General features: G+C 49.5%; 1 protein-coding gene across 1 annotated transcript in view, besides 1 other annotated feature; it reads right to left on the bottom strand.

Moving 5' to 3' along the window:
• The window catches only part of NKAIN1 (sodium/potassium transporting ATPase interacting 1), a 60,143-nt gene that overhangs the window by 11,899 nt on the left and 27,415 nt on the right, over positions 1–20,829 (bottom strand). The window lies entirely within an intron of this gene.
• Positions 6,851–7,351: an enhancer, noted in NCBI's record as "H3K4me1 hESC enhancer chr1:31671341-31671841 (GRCh37/hg19 assembly coordinates)". NCBI's record gives its function as "activates a minimal SCP1, AML or CMV promoter by ChIP-STARR-seq in naive H9 embryonic stem cells {active_cell/tissue: H9 hESC(naive)}" and the evidence as "EXISTENCE:reporter gene assay evidence [ECO:0000049][PMID:30033119]".

Genomic DNA, 20,829 nt, shown 5'->3' on the forward strand with positions numbered 1-20,829 from the left:
GTCTAAGCTTCTTAGTTTGGCACCGAGGGCCCACTAGGATCTGGCTCAATCCTGTATTTCCCATCAGCTCCTGCCCCCAAGAGGCTGTAACAGCAGTTAAAGTCCTACCTTCATTTGCCTTTGCCTTATTTTTTATTTTATATTTTATTTTGAGAAAGAGTCTTGCACTTTTGCCCAGGTTGGGGTGCAATGTGGTGATCACAGCTCACTGTAACCTCAAATTCCTGGGCTCAAGGCATCCTCCTGCCTCACCTCCTTAGTAGCTGGGACTACAGGCATGTGCCATCACATCTGGGTAATTTTAAAATATTTTGTAGAGATTGGGTCTCACTATGTTGCCCTGAGTAGTCTTGAACTCCTGGCCTCAATTAATCTTCCTGCCTTGGCCTCCCAAAATGCTGGGATTACAGACATAAGCCACTGCGCTGGGCCTCCCTTTGGCTTTATCCAAGTCCTCCTTAGTTTTCACAGTGTAGCTCAGTTCCCTCTTTTGGTAGGAAGGCCTCCCTGACTGGCCCACAGGTGCTGCTCTCTCCACTTGACATGGAGTGGGGGCTGTTCTTCCCATTCTCAGCATGGCTCTGGCCTTCCTTCATCCTCACACCCAACAATCATTCACTCATTTATCTATAACCAGCTAGACCCATTTATCCATCCATCCCACATCTGACATGCCCTCACCCAGCCAGGGTTCATCACTTATTTATTCACAGAACGTTTAGTCTATGTCAGGCTTTGTGCTAGCTCCGGGATGCAGAAGTGAAGAAGTTGGGGTCCCTGCCCTTTGGGAACTCAGGACCCACTTAGTAGAGGAGGGGAAGGAAATCAGTACAAACCGGGGTATTCAGGGCTATGACCCAGGCCTGGAAAAGGCCGTCTCTTCCTCCGATGGTGAGTGCAGATTTAAATGAATTTTTTTTTTTTTGAGATGGAGTCTCGCTCTGTCGCCCAGGCTGGAGTGCAGTGGCGTGATATCAGCTCATTGCAAGCTCCACTTCCGGGGTTCACGCCATTCTCCTGCCTCAGCCTCCCGAGTAGCTGGGACTACAGGCGCATCCCACCATGCCCAGTGGATTTTTGTATTTTTTGTAGAGAACAGGGTCTCGCCCTGTTGCCCAGCCTAGTCTCATACCCTCCTGGGCTCATGTGGTCCACCCACCTTGGCCTCCCAAAGTGCTGGGATTACAGGCGTGAGCCACCATGCCTGGCCTAAATATATCTTTTAAAAAATTTAGATGTAGCCTGGGTATAGTCACTCATGCCTGTAATCCCAACACTTTGGGAGGCCAAGGCCAGAGGATGGCTTGAGGCCAGGAGTTTGGGACTAGCCTTGGCAACATAGTGAGATCCCATCTCTATTAAAAAAAAAAAAATCAGATTCAGTGTCTTATAAACAATCTCAATTTTATTTTATTATTTATTTTTTTATTTTTTTATTTTTTTGAGACGGAGTCTCACTCTGTCTCCCAGGCTGGAGTGCAGTGGCGTGATCTCGGCTCACTGCAAGCTCTGTCTTCCAGGTTCACACCATTCTCCTGCCTCAGCCTCCCAAGTAGCTGGGACTACAGGCGCCCGCCACCACGCCCGGCTAATTTTTTGTACATTTAGTAGAGACGGGTTTTCACCATGTTAGCCAGGATGGTCTCCATCTCCTGACTTTGTGATCCACCCGCCTCAGCCTCCCAAAGTGCTGGGATTACAGGCGTGAGCCACCGCGCCCGGCAACAATCTCAATTTTAAAGTTATTATTTTTTATTAGAAAACCAAGTCAAGGCCGGTGCAGTGGCTCACACTTGTAATACCAGCACTTTGGGAGGCCAAGGTGGGTGGATCACGAGGTCAGGAGTTCGAGATCAGCCTAGCCAACATGGGGAAAACTCGTCTCTACTAAAAATACAAAAAATTAGCTGGGCGTGGTGGCACGCACCTGTAATCCCAGCTACTCAGGAGGCTGAGGCAGGAGAATTACTTGAACCCGGGAGGTGGAGGTTGCAGTGAGCTGAGATCGTGCCCTTGCACTCCAGCCTGGGTGAAAGTGCGAAATTCGGTCTCAAAACAAACAAACAAACAAACACCAAGTCAAATATTACAGGACTTCTGCTTGTGTAGCAGTTACATGCAGCTAATTAACAAATAATAATAAGAACAAAATAAGAGGAATACCTTTCCCACCTGGTTGCGTCAGCTCCGAAACACTAATCTGAGGGCTGTGGTGATTGTAAATCATAACCGGCCTTGCTGTGTCTTTGTTACTTAGAAGGCAGGAACTGTGCAGAGGCAACAGCAATCTACTCCTTTGCATAAATTGCAAATGCATGTGCACTGGGGGAAAAATTCCTTCCTTCGTTTGGAGATATTTTTACCTAGAGAGCTGCAAGCCAAGCCAAGATAGCTTCTTGAATCCCTCTCCTAAGTGAGCTGGGGTGAAAGTTCCTGGGGACAGTGGATACAGACTTCTCCCTGATCTCCCGCCAGGGGAAGGCTGGCCACCACCCCACTCAGTTACTTTTTCTAAAATACAAATCTCATCCCAGCCACACAGAATGAGCCCCCTGACTGTAATCCCAGAGTGACAGATGAGAACATGTCACCCAGGCCTCACATCTCTGTCTTCACCTGCCAATGCTCACAGAGGAAGCCCCACATTCCTGCCCATCAGTCCTCTCTGCCTTTGATCTCTGTTCTCCCCTGACCCAGCTCTTTCTTTTTCCTTTTTCTTTCCCTTCCCTTCCCTTTTTCTTTCCTTTTTTTTCTTTCCTTCCTTCCTTCCTTTTTTTTTTTTTTTTTGGAGTTTCACTCGTCACCCAGGCTGGAGTGCAATGGCGTGATCTCGGCTCACTGCAACCTCCGCCTCCCGGGTTCAAGTGATTCTCCTGCCTCAGCCTCCCGAGTAGCTGGGATTACAGGTGTGTGCCTCCATGCCCTGCCAATTATTGTATTTTTAGTAGAGACGGGGTTTCTCCATGTTGGTCAGGCTGGTCTCAAACTCCCGACCTCAGGTGATTTGCCTGCCTCGGCCTCCCAAAGTGCTGGGATTACAGGCGTGAGCCCCTGCACCTGGCCTGCTTTCTTTTTTCTTTTCATTTCCTTTCCTTTTCCTTCCTTCCTTTTCTCTCTCTCTCTCTTTTTTTTTTTTTTTTTTTTTTGAGACAGAGTCCCATTCTGTCACCCAGGCTGGAGTGCAGTGGCGGGATCTCAGCTCACCGCAATCTCTGCCTCCCAGGTTCAAGCGATTCTCCTGTCTCAGCCTCCTAAGTAGTTGGGATTACAGGCGAGTGCCACCATGCCCAGCTAATTCTTGTATTTTCAGTAGAGATGGGGTTTCACCATGTTAGTCATGGCTTGTCTCGAACTCCTGACCTCATAAGCCACCCGCCGCAGCCTCCCAAAGTGTTGGGATTACAGGCGTGAGCCACCGCGCCTGACTCTTTCTTTTTTTCTTTCTTCTCTTTCTCTCTCTTCTCTATATATTCCTTCCTCCTTTTTTTTTTTTTTTTTGAGTCTCGCTCTGTTGCCCAGGCTGGAGTGCAGTGGTGCGATCTAGGCCCACTTGCAACCTCCGCCTCCTGGGTTCAAGCTATTCTCCTGCCTCAGCCTTCCCAGTAGCTGCAATTACAGGCACCCGCCACCATGCCCGGCTTAATTTTTTGTATTTTTTAGTGGAGACGGGGTTTCACCATGTTGGCCAGGCTGGTCTTGAACTCTCGACCTCAGGTGATCCACCTGCCTCAGGCTCCCAAAGTGCTGGAATTACAGGCATAAGCCACCGCGCCTGGCCTTTCTTTCTTTCTGCCTTGCCTTGCCCTGCCCTGCCCTGCCGCCGCGGCTGGCCCCCGCCACCTGCACTCTGGATCCAGCTCCTCCTGTCTTCTCAGGAGCCCACACCATCCACAGTCCCTTCTCTCTTGTAAACATAGCCTCTCCCTCTCCCCAGATCCTTCTCACTGGCTCCTAACAAGCTCAAAGCCTCTCCCATTAAAAAAAGAAAAAAAAAGTGTCTGGGTATAATGGCTCATGCCTGTAATCCCAGCACTTTGAGAGGCCCAGGTGGGTAGACTGCTTGAGCTCAGGAGTTTGAGACCAGCCTGGGCAACATGGCATAAAGCCCCACCTCTACAAAAAATACAAAAACTCAGCCGGGCGTGGTGGTGCACGTCTGTGGTCCCAGCTACTTGAGAGGCTGAGGTGGGAGGATTGCTTGAGCCCAGCAGGCTGAGGCTACAGTGAGCTGTGATAGCCTACCTGTCTCAAAAAAAAAAAAAAAAAAGCTTCTTACCACCTTGCAGCTGATATCAGCCTTATCTATCTCAACACTCTCACCCCCAAAACTACATAAAAGGTCTCCATGGCCTTCCCTGCCACTCGATCTGCCAGAGTGACTTTCTGCTTGGCCACTGAAACAGTTCTTACTGAGGTCACTGGCGATCTCCTTGTCATTAAATTCAGCAGATAAGGCCGGGTGATGTGGCTCAGGCCTGTAATCCCAGCACTTTGGGAGACCGAGGTGGGTGGATCACTTGAGGTCAAGAGTTTGAGACCAGCCTGGCCAACATGGTGAAACCCCGCCTCTACTAAAAATACAAAAATTGGCCGGGTGCGGTGGCTCACGCCTGTAATCCCAGCACTTTGGGAGGCCGAGGCGGGTGGATCACGAGGTCAGGAGATCGAGACCATCCTGGCTAACATGGTGAAACCCTGTCTCTACTAAAAATACAAAAAATTAGCCAGGCGTGGTGGCGGGCGCCTGTAGTCCCAGCTACTCGGGAGGCTGAGACAGGAGAATGGCTTGAACCCAGGAGGCGGAGCCTGCAGTGAGCTGAGATCGTGCCACTGCACTCCAGCCTGGGCAACAGAGTGAGACTCCTACTCAAAAAAAAAAAAAAAAATAGAAAAATTAGCCGGGCATGGTGGTGGGCAACTGTAATTCCAGCTACTAGGGAGGCTGAGGCAGGAGAATCACTTGAATCAACCTCCACCAGGAGGTGGGAGTTGCAGTGAGCCAAGATCACACCACTGCACTCCAGCCTGGGCGACAGAGTGAGATTCCATCTCAAAAATAAATAAATAAATAAATAAATAAATAAATAAATAAATAAATAAATAATAAATTCAGCAGATGAATTTCAGTCCTCATCTTACCTGACCTCAATTGCCCTCTCTCCTGCCAGCAGCACTCTTTTCTGGCTTTTGCCCCATGGCACCGTCCCAGAGGCAGGATGACCTAGTGGTCAGGAGCAAAGCCTGAGTCAGAATCCTGGTGTGCTGGTTATTATACAACTCTTGGCACGGCACTAACCTTCCTGTGCCTGTTTCTTGGTTAACAAAATGGGTATGATTCACAGTATCTTCCTCATAGGGTTGCAAGAAGAGTCAGTATTATTTAAAATTATATTTTTCTGCAAAACTCCCTACCTCCCTCCTTCCTTTATTTTTTCCACAGTGCTTATGATTGGATTTTTACTTTTTTTTTTTTTTTTTTTCTTTTTGAGACAGAATCTCACTCTGCCGCCCAGGCTGGAGTGCAGTGGCACAATCTCGGCTCACTGCAAGCTCTGCCTCCCAGGTTCACGCCATTCTCCTGCCTCAGCCTCCCGAGTAGCTGGGACTACAGGCACCCACCAGCACGCCCGGCTAATTTTTTGTATTTTTAGTAGAGACGGGGTTTCATCGTGTTAGCCAGGATGGTCTCGATCTTCTGACCTCGTGATCCGCCCGCCTCAGCCTCCAAAAGTGCTGGGATTACAGGCGTGAGCTACCACGTCTGGCCTAATTTTTTGTATTTTTAGTAGAGATGGGGTTTCACCATGTTGGTCAGGTTGGTCTCAAACTCCTGACCTTGTGATTTGCCCGCCTTGGCCTCCCAAAGTGCTGGGATTACAGGCATGAGCCACCGTGCCCGGCCTTTTTTTTTTTTTTTCCCTGAGATGGAGTCCAGCTTCGTCGCCCAGGTTGGAGTGCAGTGGCGCGATCTCGGCTTGCTGCAACCTCTATCTCCCGGGTTCAAGCGATTCTCCTGCCTCAGCCTCTGGAGTAGCTGGGATTACAGGCACCTGCCACCAAGCCCAGCTAATTTTTATATTTTTAGTAGAGATGGGGTTTCACCATGTTGGCCAGGCTGGTCTCAAACTCCTGACCTCAAGTGATCTGCCCACCGTGGCCTCCCAAAGTGTTGGGATTACAGGCATGAGCCACTGCACCTGGTGGTTTTTTACTTTTTATTTTTATTTTTTTGAGATGGGATTTTCGCTTTGTCACCCAGCTGGAGTGCAGTGGTGTGATCGCGGCTCACTGCAGCCTTGAACTCCTTGGCTCAATCCTCCCACCTCAGCCTCCTGAGTAGCTAGGACTACAGGCATGTGCCACCACGCTGGCCTGTGCTTATCATTGGCAAACACACTCTTTTACACACTATTTAGTTATGGTCTGTCTCCTGCAGTGGATGGCAAGCTTTGTGAGGGCAGGAATTTCTGCTTGTGTGGTTCACTGCCGTATTTTCAGTGGTGAGACCAGTGCTTGGCACACTCCAGGTGCTAAAACCAAATTCTCCACCTTCCTTGGCTACTACCCCATTCTAGAGCAGCAGGCCCCTAACTATTAGAGTGCCCCAAAGCTACATCCCAGGCCCTCTTCATGCCACACTTATCCCAGGAAACGCATGCCCACCCAAGCTTCAGTGACTACCTGCTCACGTGCAGCCCCCAGCTGCATTCTAACCAATGACTCAGTGAACAGCTCATTGTGAACTCCATATGCCCAAACCTGGTCCATGTCCAGTGTTTTGGGCCCCACGATGTGTCCAGCCGCTTGAGCTAGGAACCTAAACTTTAGGTTTCAGTCTCCCTCATGCTCCCCACTTGTTCCACGTCCCCCACTCGCCGCAGCCCATCCTCAAGCCCTGGCTCTCTGGGATCTTCCAAATCTCTCATATCTGGCCACTTTTTTCCGTCCACTTTCTTTCACCTAGCAATGCCAACCCCCCTGCCCTCCACCCTACTTCAAACCTAACTGGCCCTTCTGCTCTCCAGAGTGGGGCCTCCCTGAGGCTCCCTGCTGCCCTTCCCCCTGCCCTTCGCTCCCCGCCCCCACCCCTAATTATTTATTTATCAGGTAGCTGCCAGCTGAAGGGGGATGCCGTTGCCATAGGAACCTTCAGCCCCGAGTCAGGGCTGCCTCTGTTCTCAGTAGGATGCTCTTGTCTGTCTAGACGCCAACCCCAGGAGCCCACACAAGGTGGGGAGTGAGGGACAAGGGCTGAATAATGCAGATGGGCCCACCCTAGCTCCAGGAAGCTGGCTGGGAGAGAAGGTAGCGTAGGGCCCAGGCTCAGGGCCATTGAACCCATCAGAAGTCTCTCGTGCCCCACCCTTGCCAGCCAATTTGGCAAGTCAACTACTTTCCTGGCCAAAATTCCAGCCATGTCACCATAGGCCTTAGACACAGAAGTCAGCCTGTCTGGGGAAAGATGAGGGATGGACCCTTGAAGTTTCTGGAGAAAGCTTTGGTCCAGCCTGGTTCTGTCTCTCTCACTGACTTCAGTCCACTGAGGGACGAGCTCTCCATTTAAGGACAGGGAGGCCTGAGTTCCAGCCCCAGTTCTCATCGACTCACTGTGTGACCTTCGGCAAGTTATCCCCCTCTCTGAGCCTCAGTTTTCTCATTAGTGAAATGTCCTGAGGATTCAGACAGTGCCCATAAAGCTCGCAGCCAGCCGGATGTCTGGCACGCAGTTGGTGCTGACTATATGGCAACAGCTTTTGTTGCATCCCCAACCTCAGACCCCCCTTTTCCCAATGGATTTCTGAGGCAGCTGACAAAATTAAACTCGACTCAACCCCTCATCTGTGAAATGAGGGAGTGGGATGAAAGCCGCAGACAACAGAGCTGGAAGGACCCCTGAGATCTGCTGGCCCAACCCCCTCATTAGGGAGGTGAGCAAACTGACAGCAGAGGGGGCAGTGATGTGCCTGAGGGGAGGTGCTCCTCCCTCTCCCCATCTCCGGGGGTCCATCTGGGGTCATTGCCATCTGAGCATGAGTTGAAATGAGATTTAACTCAACATAAGATTAAAAGGAACAGTCACAGAGACCAAGTGGTCTTTGACCCTGCCAAAGAAGATGGGCCCAGTAAGGACTCAATTCATTGAGCAAATATTTCTTGAGCACCTACAATGTGCCGGGCCCTGGACATATGGCAGTGAACAACATGGCGTGTATCCTGCCTCAGAGAGCTCGTCTGGAGACAGAGACCACTGTCCTCTGGGAGCTGATGAGCTGATGATGGGGGCTTCTCTGCCAGGTTCCCCTCCACTGTGCCTAGGGACCTGTGAAGATGCCTCCCTGGTCCCCGAACACACACACACGCACACACATGCACACACACACGCACACACACACACATGCACACGTGCACACACGCACGCGCACGCACGAACACATGCGCGCACACGCATTCACACACACGCACGCACGCACACCCCTCTCTCCTGTCTTTCTTCCAGGGCTTTTGCAGCCTTGCTGCCTCTCTATCCCAGCCCGGATCCCACTGGGAAATGGCCACGGCCATCACTGTTAGGTGAAAAAAGCAAGCTGCAGAGCAACATGATTCCGTTCGTGTAAACACCTCCCCTAAAAGGCACCAAACGCGTGCGACTGTAAACACAGGACCAAAAGCCAGGGAGTTATCTCATAACAATAAACAGTTATGAGATGTTATTTCTAGGGAGTGGGGAGATGGGGAGACTTTGAATCTTAACTATATGCACTTCTATAGTTCCGGAATGTCTTACAACAAAGTTGGACCAGAAGTCTCCTCTCTCTTTTTTTTTTTTTTTTTTTGAGACAGGGTCTTGCTGTTGTTCATGCTGGAGTGCAGTGGCATGATCCGGGCTCACTGCAGCCTCAGCCTCCTGGGATCAAGTGATCTTCCCACCTCAGCCTCCTGAGTAGTTGGGACTACAGGCAGCTGCCACCCACACTTGGCTATTTTTTAAACTTTTTTGTAGAGACAAGGGTCTCACTATATTTCCCAGGCTGGTCTCGAACTCCTGAGCTCAAGTGATCCTCCCCTGCCTTGGCCTCTCAAGGTGTTGGGATTACAGGTGTGAGCCACTGTGCCCGGCCACATTTATTTATCTCCTATTTGATCTAGACAGTATTCTGAGTACATAACATGTATTCGTCTTATAAACATTTCTCGAGTGCCTTTTTTTTTTTGACAGTCTCGCTCTGTCGCCCAGGCTGGAGCGCAGTGGTGCGATCTCAGCTCACTGCAACCTCCGCCTCCCTGGTTCAAGCAATTCTCTGCCTCAGCCTCCTGAGTAGCTGGGATTACAGGTGACTGCCACCATGCCTGGCTAATTTTTGTATTTTTAGTAGAGACAGGGTTTTGCCATCTTGGTCAGGCTCACGCTCCCAGCAATTTGGGAGGCGAAGGCGGGTGGATCACGAGGTCAGGAGTTCGAGTGCCTCTTGTGTGCTAAATCCCGAGAACACAGTGGTGAATACAGTGCACCCAGCTCCTGTCCTCTTGGGGATGACAGTCTTGCCCTTTCCCTCCTCAGAGCAGACACCAGTAACATCTGTCCCATTAGGAAACAAAACAAACCAAATCTCCCAGAAGATCAGTAACCTCTCTCAAGGGGTCTACCTTAGGATACTTTATGGAGCACTCATTGTCTATAAACCTCATGCTCATGTCACACCTTTTAATCCTACCCTATTTTTTTTTTTTTTTTGAGACGGAGTCTCTCTCTGTCGCCGAGGCTGGAGTGCAGTGGCACTATCTCAGCTCACTGCAAGCTCTGCTTTCCGGGTTCACGCCATCCTCCTGCCTCAGCCTCCCAAGTAGCTGGGACTACAGGTGCCCGCCACCATGCCCGGCTAATTTTTTTTTGTATTTTTAATAGAGACAGGGTTTCACCGTGTTAGCCAGGATGGTCTCGATCTCCTGACCTCGTGATCCTCCCTCCTGGGCCTCCCAAAGTGCAGGGATTACAGGCGTGAGCCACCGCGCCCGGCCAATCCTACCCCTTTTTATAAATGAGGAAACTGAGGCCCAGAGCAGTGGCAGGCTTGCCTAAGGGGACGCAGAACGGCTGACTCCAACCAGTCTGGGGCCAAACCCTTGCTCTTTTCCACCACTTCTTACCAAGGTGCTCTTTGAGATTTGGCCGCCCAGCCTGTTTGCATGCCCCAGCATTTGGGAGTCTCACCCCTTATGGCACTGCTGGAGGTGCCTTCCACCCTGGAGGGGTAATCTTCCTCCTCCTCGGGACAGGTCCTGGACCCCCAATCCCCTGACTGCCATCTGCCTGTCTGCACGCCCTCCTGCTGCGGCCCAGCCCTCTACCTCCGCTGGGCCTGGGGAGCCAGGGAGCATCTGCTCACCTTCTGCATCATTAGCCCTCAGAGACCAGCTTGGAGCTGCTAGGGAGGCCCAGGATGCGACTGATTGGGCCAGCCCTGGTCTTGTCAGGAGGCAGCAGCAGGCTCCTGGCCTCTGTCTCCATGGTAACCCCATCCCCTCATCTCAGTGACCACTGACCCATCCCCACCCCTTCCCCAGCTGGGGGGCTCTGCAAGCCCCTTCTGGGCAGATCCAACCCACTGCACCTCTGAGCTGGCAACTCCATTAGAACAAAGTGCCTGGCAGTGATCTAATTAGCATATATCTACATTAATTTGCATAAATCCTGGGCCAAACGGCCCAGGGTGCTACCAAGGGGAAGTCTAAAAAAAAATCAGGCCGGGGACCAGGCAGGGTGGTTCATTCATCTCTGTATTCCCAGCACTTTGGGAGGCCGAGGTGGGCGGATCACGAGGTCAGGAGATCGAGACCATCCTGGCTAACACGGTGAAACCCCATCTCTACTAAAAACACAAAAAACTAGCCGGGTGTGGTGGTGGGCACCTGTAGTCCCAGCTACTCAGGAGGCTGAGGCAGGAGAATGGTGTGAACCCAGGAGGTGGAGCTTGCAGTGAGCTGAGATTGTGCCACCGCACTCCAGCCTGGGCGACAGAGGAGACTCTGTATAAAAAAAAAAAAAAAAAAATCAGGCTGTGCACAGTGGCTCACCCCTGTAATCCCAGCACTTTGGGAGGCCAAGGTGGGCGGATCACGAGGTCAAGAGATTGAGACCATCCTGGCCAACATGGTGAAATCCTGTCTCTACTAAAAATATAAAAATTAGCTGGGCGTGGTGGTGTGCGCCTGTAGTCCCAGCTACTCGGGAGGCTGAGGCAAGAGAATCATTTGAACCCAGGAGGTGGAGGTTGCAGTGAGCTGAGATCACACCACTGCACTCTAGCCTGGTGACAGAGCGAGATTCCGTCTTAAAAAAAAAAAAAAAAGGCCAGGGGCAGTGGCTCACGCGGGTAATCCCAGCACTTTGGGAAGCCAAGGTGGGCGGACTCCTGAGGTCAGGAGTTCGAGACCAGCCTGGCCAACATGGTGAAACCCATCTCTACAAAAAATACAAAAATTAGACAGGCATGGTGGCTGTAATCCCAGCTACTCGGGAGGCTGAGGCAGGAGAATCACTTGCACCCGGGAGGCAGAGGTTGCAGTAAGCCGAGATTGCGCCACTGCACTCTGGCCTAGGTGACAGAGCGAGATTCCATCTCAAAAAAATAAAAAATAAAATAAAATAAATAAAAAATAATGAAAACACTGTGGATGTCCCTCAGAAGGGGTCACAGTCAATGACAGTGCCTCCACACGATTCAACACAATGCAGCCATTATGATGGAGTGTGGGAAGAGGGCCAAGCTACCACGTTTGAAACGGCGCTGCAGAGCCACTTGAGTAGGACAACGCTGTTTTCACGCATAACAACAAAACAAAGAATCATCAAACTGTTAATTTGTTAACTCTAGGGAATGGGATTATGGGGGCCTTTGAGATTCAGCCAGATATATTTCTGCAAGGTTTTTACATCGAGGAGTAATTTTTTTTTTTTTTTGAGACGGAGTCTTGCTCTGTCACCCAGGCTGGAGTGCAGTGGCACCATCTTGGCTCACTGCAACCTCTGCTTCCCAGGTTCAAGCAATTCTCCTGCCTCAGCCTCCTGAGTAGCTGGGATTACAGGCACCCACCACCACGCCTGGCCAATTTCTGTATTTTTAGTAGAGATGGGGTTTCACTATGTTGGCCAGGCTAGTCTTGAACTCCTGACCTCAAGTGATTAGCCCGCCTCGGCCTTCCAAAATGCTGGGATTACAGGCGTGAGCCACTGCGCTCGGCCTATGAGTAATATTTTTATAAGTGAACAAACACATTCAAAGACAAAACTGATGGCGACAAATGAGCACACCCCCATGAGTCTGCCTGAGACTGTGGGTGACCCTGAGCTGAGGATGACCAACTGTCCCAGTGTGCCTGAGACCATGGGGTTTCTTAGAGCACAGCACTTTCAGGGACAAGTTCCAAAAGTCCTGGGCAAACTGGGACAAGCTGGTCACATGATATGGAGAGGGTATGGACAGCTTGGAGGCCTGGGGTGGCTCTGGATGAATGAAATGAGGGGTGGCAGGGTGGGGAAGAGATGTGGCTGGACCTTGGACCCAGGGCTTTATTCTGCTGGTCCCTAGGAGGCAGGGAAGGTCTGAGCATAGAGACATGGAAGCTGGGTGCTTTGGGTGCAGTGCTGTCTGGCTACAGGAGGAGGATGGACTGGAAGTGGGAGACCAGGAGGAGATGCTGAGGCCTTTCTTGGCAAGCTGAGACAGGGCCCAGAATCCTCCATGCCTGAGGTCCCACTCTCCCAGGACTCCCATCTTCTTGTCAATTCCTACTCTACTTCTGCCCATGTTCCCACGTCTAAACTACTGAGGCATCCCCAGTCCCATCTCCCAGATGCCGGGACCCCGGCAAGCTCTGGAGTGGGCAGCCAAGGCCTGGAAAGAAGGTGCCCTCCAAAGAGGAGCACTTAAGACAGGGGTGAAGGGGAAGACAATCCAGGAAGGGCAAGCTCAGCAAAAACAAGGCTCTCCCAGGAGACGCCGGCTGCAGATAAATGAACATTTGGATAAATAAAATGGTGATTAATCAGATTCCCCAACTAAGTACAATGAAGAACACCACATAATTAAGCCAAAAACTCATGGCAGAAAGCACCTTAATGAAGCGGGCACTTAGGTAGAGAGAATTAATTAAGGCAGTGTTCGGAATTTCAGGAGTGGCTAGAGGGATGGAAGTGATGGGGGGAAGGCCAGAATGAAAACAAGCAGGAGGTAACATCTACCCAGGATGGGACTGAGGCTGCTGGAGAGCCCGGTAATTATCAGCTCAGGCTCTGCACTCGGGCAGGCCTGGAAGTGAGTCTCAGCTCTCACAAGTTGTAGGATCTGGGAAAGCCACCTCCTAATGCCTCGGTTTCCTCAACTGTAAAATGGGAACAATAATATCTACTTCCTGGATTTGTGGGAGGATTCAATGAGGTAATGTGAATGAATGACTTTGCATGTAACTGTTCAATAAATTATCACGGATTGGACAAGCAATTTTTTTTTTGTTTGAGATGGAGTCTCGCCCGGGCTGGAATACAATGGCTCGATCTCGGCTCACTGCAACCTCTGTCTCCCGGGTTCACACAATTCTCCTGCCCCAGCCTCCCGAGTAGCTGGGATTACAGGTGCCTGCCACCACACCCAGCTAATTTTTTGTTTGTTTGTTTGTTTGTTTTTTGAGACGGAGTCTGGCTCTGTTGCCTAGGCTGGAGTGCAGTGTCACAATCTCGGCTTACCACAACTTCTGCCTTCTGGGTTCAAGCCGTTCTCCTGCTTTAGCCTCCTGAGTAGCCACAACTACGGGCACGCCCCACCATGCCCAGATAATTTTTGTATTTTTAGTAGAGATGGGGTTTCACTATGTTGGCCAGACTGGTCTCAAACTGCTGACCTCGTGATCTGCCCGCCTAAGTCTCCCAAAGTGCTGGGATTACAGGCGTGAGCAACCACGCCCAGCCGGACAAGTTTTTTTTTTTTTTTTTTTTTTGAGATGGAGTCTCACTCTGTCACCCAGGCTAGAGTGCAGTGGCACGATCTCGGCTCGGCTCACCGCAACCTCTGCCTCCCAGGTGTAAGCAATTCTCCTGCCTCAACTTCCCAAGTAGCTGGGATTACAGGTGTGTGCCACCACGCCCAGCTAATTTTTGCATTTTTAGTAGAGACAGGGTTTCACTATGTTGGTCAGGCTGGTCTCGAACTCCTGACCTCAGGTGATCGGCCTGCCTTGGCCTCCCAAAATGCTGGGATTAAAAGCATGAGCCACCGCGCCCGGCCCAGACAAGCATTTTAAACTCTCCGGTTTAGGCCAGGTGCAGTGGCTTACATCTGTAATCCCAGCACTTTGGGAGGCTGAGGTGGGTGGATCACCTGAGGTCAGGAGTTCGAGACCAGCCTGACCAATATGATGAAACCCCCGTCTCTACTAAAAATACAAAAATTAGCTGGGCGTGGTGGTGGGCACCTGTAATCCCAGCTACTTGGGAGGCTGAGGCAGGAGAATCGCTTGAACCCGGGATGAGGAGGTTGCAGTGAGCCAAGATCCCACCACTGCACTCCAGCCTGGGCAACAAGAGCAAAACTCCATCTCAAAAATAAATAAATAAATAAAATAAAAATAAATAAACTCTCTGGTTTAAATGAGAAATAAACATTTTAAAAAAGAAGCCAATAAAGCCCTATCTTCTTCATAGAGAAGTTAGAGAACTGAGTAAATCACAACCATGAAAGCAAGTTATATAGTAGTATGTGGTTTTTATTTTTATTTTATTTTTTAAATTTTTATTTATTTTATGTATTTAGTTTTTTGAGACAGGGTCTCACTGTTTTGCCCAAGCTGGAATGCAGTGGCGTGATCTTGGCTCACTGCAACCTCTGCCTCCTGGGCTCAAGTGATCCTCCTGTCTCAGCCTCCTGAGGAGCTAGGACCACAGGTGCACACCGCTACACCTGGCTAATTTTTTGTATTTTTGGTGGAGATGGGGTTTCACCATGTTGCTCAGGTTGGTCTCAAACTCTTGAGCTCCAGCAATTTGCCCATCTCAGCCTTCCAAAGTGCAGGGATTATAGGTGTGAGCCACTGCACCTGGCCTATTTTAATTTTTCTGACACAGGGTTTCACTCTGTTGCTCAGGCTGGAGTGCAGTGGCATGATCATGGCTCACTGCAGCCCCAACCTCTGAGCCTCAAGAGATCCTCCTACCTCAGCCTCCTGAGTAGCTGGGACTATAGGCATGCACCACTACGCTCAGCTAGGTTATGTATTTTTTTGTAGAGATGGGGTTTCGCCGTGTTGGCCAGGCTGGTCTTGAATTCCCAACCTCAAGTGATCCGCACGCCTCAGCCTCCCAAAGTGCTGGGATTAAAAGTGTGATCCTGTAATCCCACCTGGCTGTATGTGCTTTTTAAACTGTGTAGTGCTGTGCCCACATGTGCCATTATTAGGATAATTGTTAAATCCTTGGTTTCATACCAAGATCAGATTCTTGCTGCTTGTTCCCCAAGAAGCTGTACACCACAGAGGTTAAAAGTATGGCCTAGGAGCCAAACTATCTGGGTTTGAATCCTACCTTTAATACTTATTAGCTGTGTGACCTTCAGTAAGTCACTTAACCTCTCTGTTCTTTAATTTCAAATCCCGGCTCTGTCATTTATTAGCCAACTGTAAAATGGGGATGATGATAACAGTACCCATTTCAAGCGAATGTTGTGAAGCTTAAGTAGGGAATATGTGTCAAATGTTCAGAACACTGCCTGGTTCATAGCCATAGAAGTGTTAGCTACGATGATTGTTCCCTGTAGTGCAGACTCTGGGCCTGTGTTGCTCATACAGAGGACTCATGTACTGAAGGAGAAAGGATCACAGTTGTCCTAATGTGCAGGTCACTTTGAGGCCAGGTGGTATTTCACCCCACTCATCCCCAAGCAGCCCAGCAGCTGCCTGACCCCCCTGCCCCACTCTTGTTCTTCTTTGCCCATGAAGCATTCATGGGCACTGACCCTGGGTGCAAAGAGGAACAGCCCCTGCCCTGGCCACGAGCTGTGCCAAGTCTATGGTGACACAGACAAACTTCAATTATCAAATTACACAAGCCCAAGGAAGAGGGCAAGGACTGAAACTGACGCTGCCCACCCTCTGGGGACTTGCACTGAGCCCGCCCTGTACACGCTGCTTGATGTCCATATCATGTACTCCTCTCAACCCTTGGAGAAGTGTCATTTTACATACATGGATACTGAGGCCCAGGGAGGTGAAGTAACAGATCCCAGGTTACACAGTCAGGAAGCGGTAGAGGCAGGAACACAGATCTGCAGGCTCTAGAGCCTGTCTGCCACCACCCCAGGTTTCCCCACTAGCTCTCCTGGTCCACAGATGGCCGCTGGGCCCCCAAAGCATCACCGCTGTGGCCTGACTCCCTGCACTACTGGAACTGGAAACTCTCCCAATGGATCCGCTCATGCCACCGATGATGGCTGAGATGTGTTCTGTTCAAATCCCCACTCCATCATTTACTAGCCGTGTGACCTCTGGCAAGTGTTTAAATCTCCCTAAGCCCGTTTCCTCATCTATAAAAAGGAAAAGAATAAAACCTCAGAGTCACTGTGACACTAAAGGATGCAAAGCATAATGCCTGGTACAGAAGAAGCACCCAACAAATGCCATTCTTTGGTCTCCTCTGAGTCCAATTCTTTCTTCCACCCCCCGCTTATGGAAACTTGTGTTCTGTTGGAGATCCGCCTCTGCTGCAGCTTTCTCATTCCCGGCTTCCTTTCGTGAAGATTTCTTTCATTCTTTCCAGAAGCCTTTCTTCCTTGCTAATAAGAGAAAATGCAGAAGTCCTACCCACAGGCCTTTGCTACCCTATCAAGCAGGGAAGCCTACCTGCCTTCACAGCACCCCTGGGGGTGGGGATCCCAGACACAGAGACACCAAAGCTCACAGGATCCTGCAATTAACCCAAGGTCTATGTGGCCCCCACATAGTGGGGGGAGGGGGCCCTGGAAACCTCTGATGTAAGTGCACAGTTTGTTAGGCCACAGGCCTCCCTCAAAATGCTCCCTTGAAGCTGCCCCGGACTTTGAGAGCGGTCAGCCCTTGTCTACAGCAGAGGCGTTACACAAACCTCCTGACTTTCAGGAACTCTGGCTCTTCCTGTTCCGTGCCACACTCTGGTGTGGGTCTATAACATGCTGTCGGACTCTGCGAGTTGTGATACTGAGGCCTTGGGCAAATCACACTTGATGTTCCAGGGCTTCAGTTTTCTCATCTGTAAACTGGGCAATATAACTCCTACCCTTCTCACCTCCCAGGGGGTGGGAGTGGATCCAATGGGGTAACTGACATCCTGGGAGCCATCAAGCTCTCCCTTCACAGGGAAGATGCCCTCCGTGGCTTTAACAGGAAGACCATCCCACTGGGCCAAGACTGGGCCAAGAAATGCAGCCCAGGGCTGGAGTGGTGGCTCTCACCTGTAATTCCAGCACTTTGGGAGGCCGAGGCAGGTGGATCACCCGAGGTCAGGAGATCGTGACCAGCCTGACCAACACGGTGAAACCTGGTCTCTACTAAAAACACAAAAGTTAGCTGGGCTTGGTGGTGGGCACCTGTAGTCCCAGCTACTTGGGAGGCTGAGGCAAGAGAATCACTTGAACCCGGGAGACGGAGGTTGCAGTGAGCCGAGATTGCGCCACTGCACTCCAGCCTGGGTAACAAGAGCAAAACTCCATCTCAAACAAAACAAAACAAAACAAAAAAACAACCAGCAGCCCAGCAGAGTGCAGCCTCCACCCCTCTCCCAGCTGAGAATCCCAACAGCAGATTCCACCTCCAGGGAGTCTCCTGCAAAAAGGGAGTCTCCTGGAACTCTTTTTTATCCTAAAAGAATACGTATAGCCAGGCATGATGGCTCATGCCTGTAATCCCAATGTTTTAGGAAGCTGATGCAGCATTGCTTCAGCCCAGGAGTTTGAGACCAGCCTGGGCAACATAGTAAGACCCCTGTCTCTACAAAAAATAAAAAAAGTAGCCAGACATAGTGGTGTATGCCTGTAGTCCCAGCTACTCCGGAGGCTGAGGTGGGAAGACCACTTGAACCTGGGAGGTCAAGGTTGCAGTGAGCTGTGATCGCATCACTCCCCTCCAGTCTGGGTGACAAAGTGAGACCCTGTCTCTAAAAAGAAAGAAAAAAAAAGTTAGCCAGGTGTGGTGGTGCATGTCTGTAGTCCTAGCTACTCAGGATGCTGAGGTGGGAGGATCCCTTGAGCCCAGGAGGTCGAGGCTGCAGTGAGCTATTGTTGGGCCACTGCACTCCAGCCTGAGCAACAGAGCATGACCCTGTCTTATTAAAAAAAAAAAAAAAAGATAAGAATGAAGAGGACTCACAATGGCTGATCCAGCATCATCCAACACATCATCCAGCATTCTACTCTGAAATAGAGCCTCCTCCTTAGTTCACGCCCACCAAATTCAGGGTAGAATGATGCTTTGCAGAAATGCATTATGTCTTAGTAATGCATCTCTTAGGGCTCAGCGCCCTCCTTTTCCCAAGCCAGCAGGTACAAGAACTGCAACCTCAGAAGCCAGCCATACCCACGGGCCACAAAGCTATTAGGTTTGGTGCAAAAGTAATTGTGGTTTTTGCCATTCTTTTTTTTTTTTTTTTTAATGGAGTCTCACTCTGTCGCCCAGGCTGGAGTGCAGTGGCACCATGTTGGCTCACTGCAACCTCCGTCTCCTGGGTTCAGGCAATTCTCCTGCCTCAGCCTCCTGAGCAGCTGGGATTACAGGCACCCACCACCACGCCCAGCTAATTTTTATATTTTTAGTAGAGACGGGGTTTCACCACGTTGGCCAGGCTAGTCTCGAACAACTGACCTCAGGTGATCCACCCGCCTTGGCCTCCCAAAGTGCTGGGATTACAGGCGTGAGCCCCCACACCCGGCTTGCCATTACTTTCAATGGCAAAAAACGCAATCTCTTTTGCACCAAACCTAACAGTAGGTCACTCAACACAGCTGAGCCCGTTTCCTCATCTGAAATGGAGATCATTTCTAACAGAACCCACATCTGTGCATCAGGCCAGGGAAAGGTTGACAGGGGTGAGTAAGGAGAAAGGGTCCAACCCTGAAGTTAGGGACATGGACATTTAGAATCCCTGAAGGAAGGGCCTGGGGAGGCTGGGCTCCATCAGCTGTTGTGAGTCCTCTCCATTCTTACCTGATTTGTTCAACTAGTAAATATTTATTGGATGTCAATCATAACACTAGACAGTGGAGACAAAGCAGTGGACAAAGGCAAAAGCAGACATAGCCCCTGTCTTGACAGAAACACTCAACAAAATAGAAAGAGAAGGGAACTTCCTCAACCTGGTGAAGGGCATCTACAGAAAAGCCACAGCCGACATCATACTTAACGGTAAAAGACTGAAAGCTTTCCCCCTAAGATCAGGAACAAGACAGGGATGTCCGCTCTCATCACTGCTATTCAACACTGTGCTGGAGGTTCTAGCCAGGACAATTAGGCAAGAAAAAGAAATCAAAGGCATCCACACTGGAAAAGAAGAAGTAAAACTATTTGCTAATTGCAGATTACATGATCTTGTATGTAGAATAAACTAAAGAATCCCCAAAAAACAACTAGAGCTACTAATTTAGGTCAGCAAGGCTGCAGAGTCCAAGATCAATATACAAAAATCACTTGAATTTCTACACATTGACAATGAACAATCTAAACATAAAATTAACAAAACAATTTCATTTACAATAGCATCAAAAAGAAGAAAATGCTTAGCATAAATTTAACCAAGTAAGTGCAAGACCTGTATGCTGAAAACAAAACATTATTGAAGAAATTAAAGAAGACCCAAATTTATGGATTGGGAGACTTGATATTGTTAAAATGGTAATACTTCCCAAATTGATCTACAGATTCAATGCACTCTATCAAAATTCCAACTACCTTTTTTTTTTTTCAGGAATGTATAAGTTGGCCTTAAAATTCATATGGAAATATGTGGAATCTTGGCTGGGCACGGTGGCTCATGCCTGTAATCCCAGCACTTTGGGAGGCCAAGGGGGGTGGATTGCTTGAGTTCGAGTCCAGCCTGGCTAACATAGTGAAATTTCGTCTCTACTAAAAATACAAAACATTAGCCAGGCGTGGTGACGCATGCCTGTAGTCCTAGCTACTCAGGAGGCTGAGGTAGGAGAATCGCTTGAACCCAGGAGGCGGAGGTTGCAATGAGCCAAGATTGCGCCACTGCACTCCAGCCTGGGAGACAGAGTGAGACTCTGTCTCAAAAACAAAACAAAACAAAACAAAACAAAAATATATATATGGAGTTCAAATAACAAAATAATCTTGAAAAAGAACAAAGTTTGAGGACTCATACTTCCTGATTTCAAAACTTACAATGACAAAGTTACAGTTATCAAGACAGTGTGGTACTAGCATAAGGATAGACATACAGATAAATGGAACAGACTAGTCCCAAACCAAATCCATACATCTATTGTCAATTGATTTTCAACAAGGGTGCCAAGACTATTCAATGGAGAAAGCATAGTTTTTTCAACAAATGTTGCTGGGACAACTGGATACTCACATGCAAAAGAATAAAGGTGCACTCCTTCCTCACACCATATACAAAAATTAACTGAAAATGGGTCAAAAACCTAAATGTAAGAGCCAAAACTATAAGATCCTTGGAAGGAACCATAGGTATAAATCTGTATTACTCTGGATTAGGTAATAGTTTCTTTTTTTTTTTTTTTTTTAGGAGACAAGGTCTCATTCTGTCACCCAGGCTGGAGTGCAGTGGCACAATCT

This window comes from Homo sapiens, chromosome 1 (genome assembly GCF_000001405.40).
Source record: "Homo sapiens chromosome 1, GRCh38.p14 Primary Assembly".
Taxonomy (NCBI): domain Eukaryota; kingdom Metazoa; phylum Chordata; class Mammalia; order Primates; family Hominidae; genus Homo; species Homo sapiens.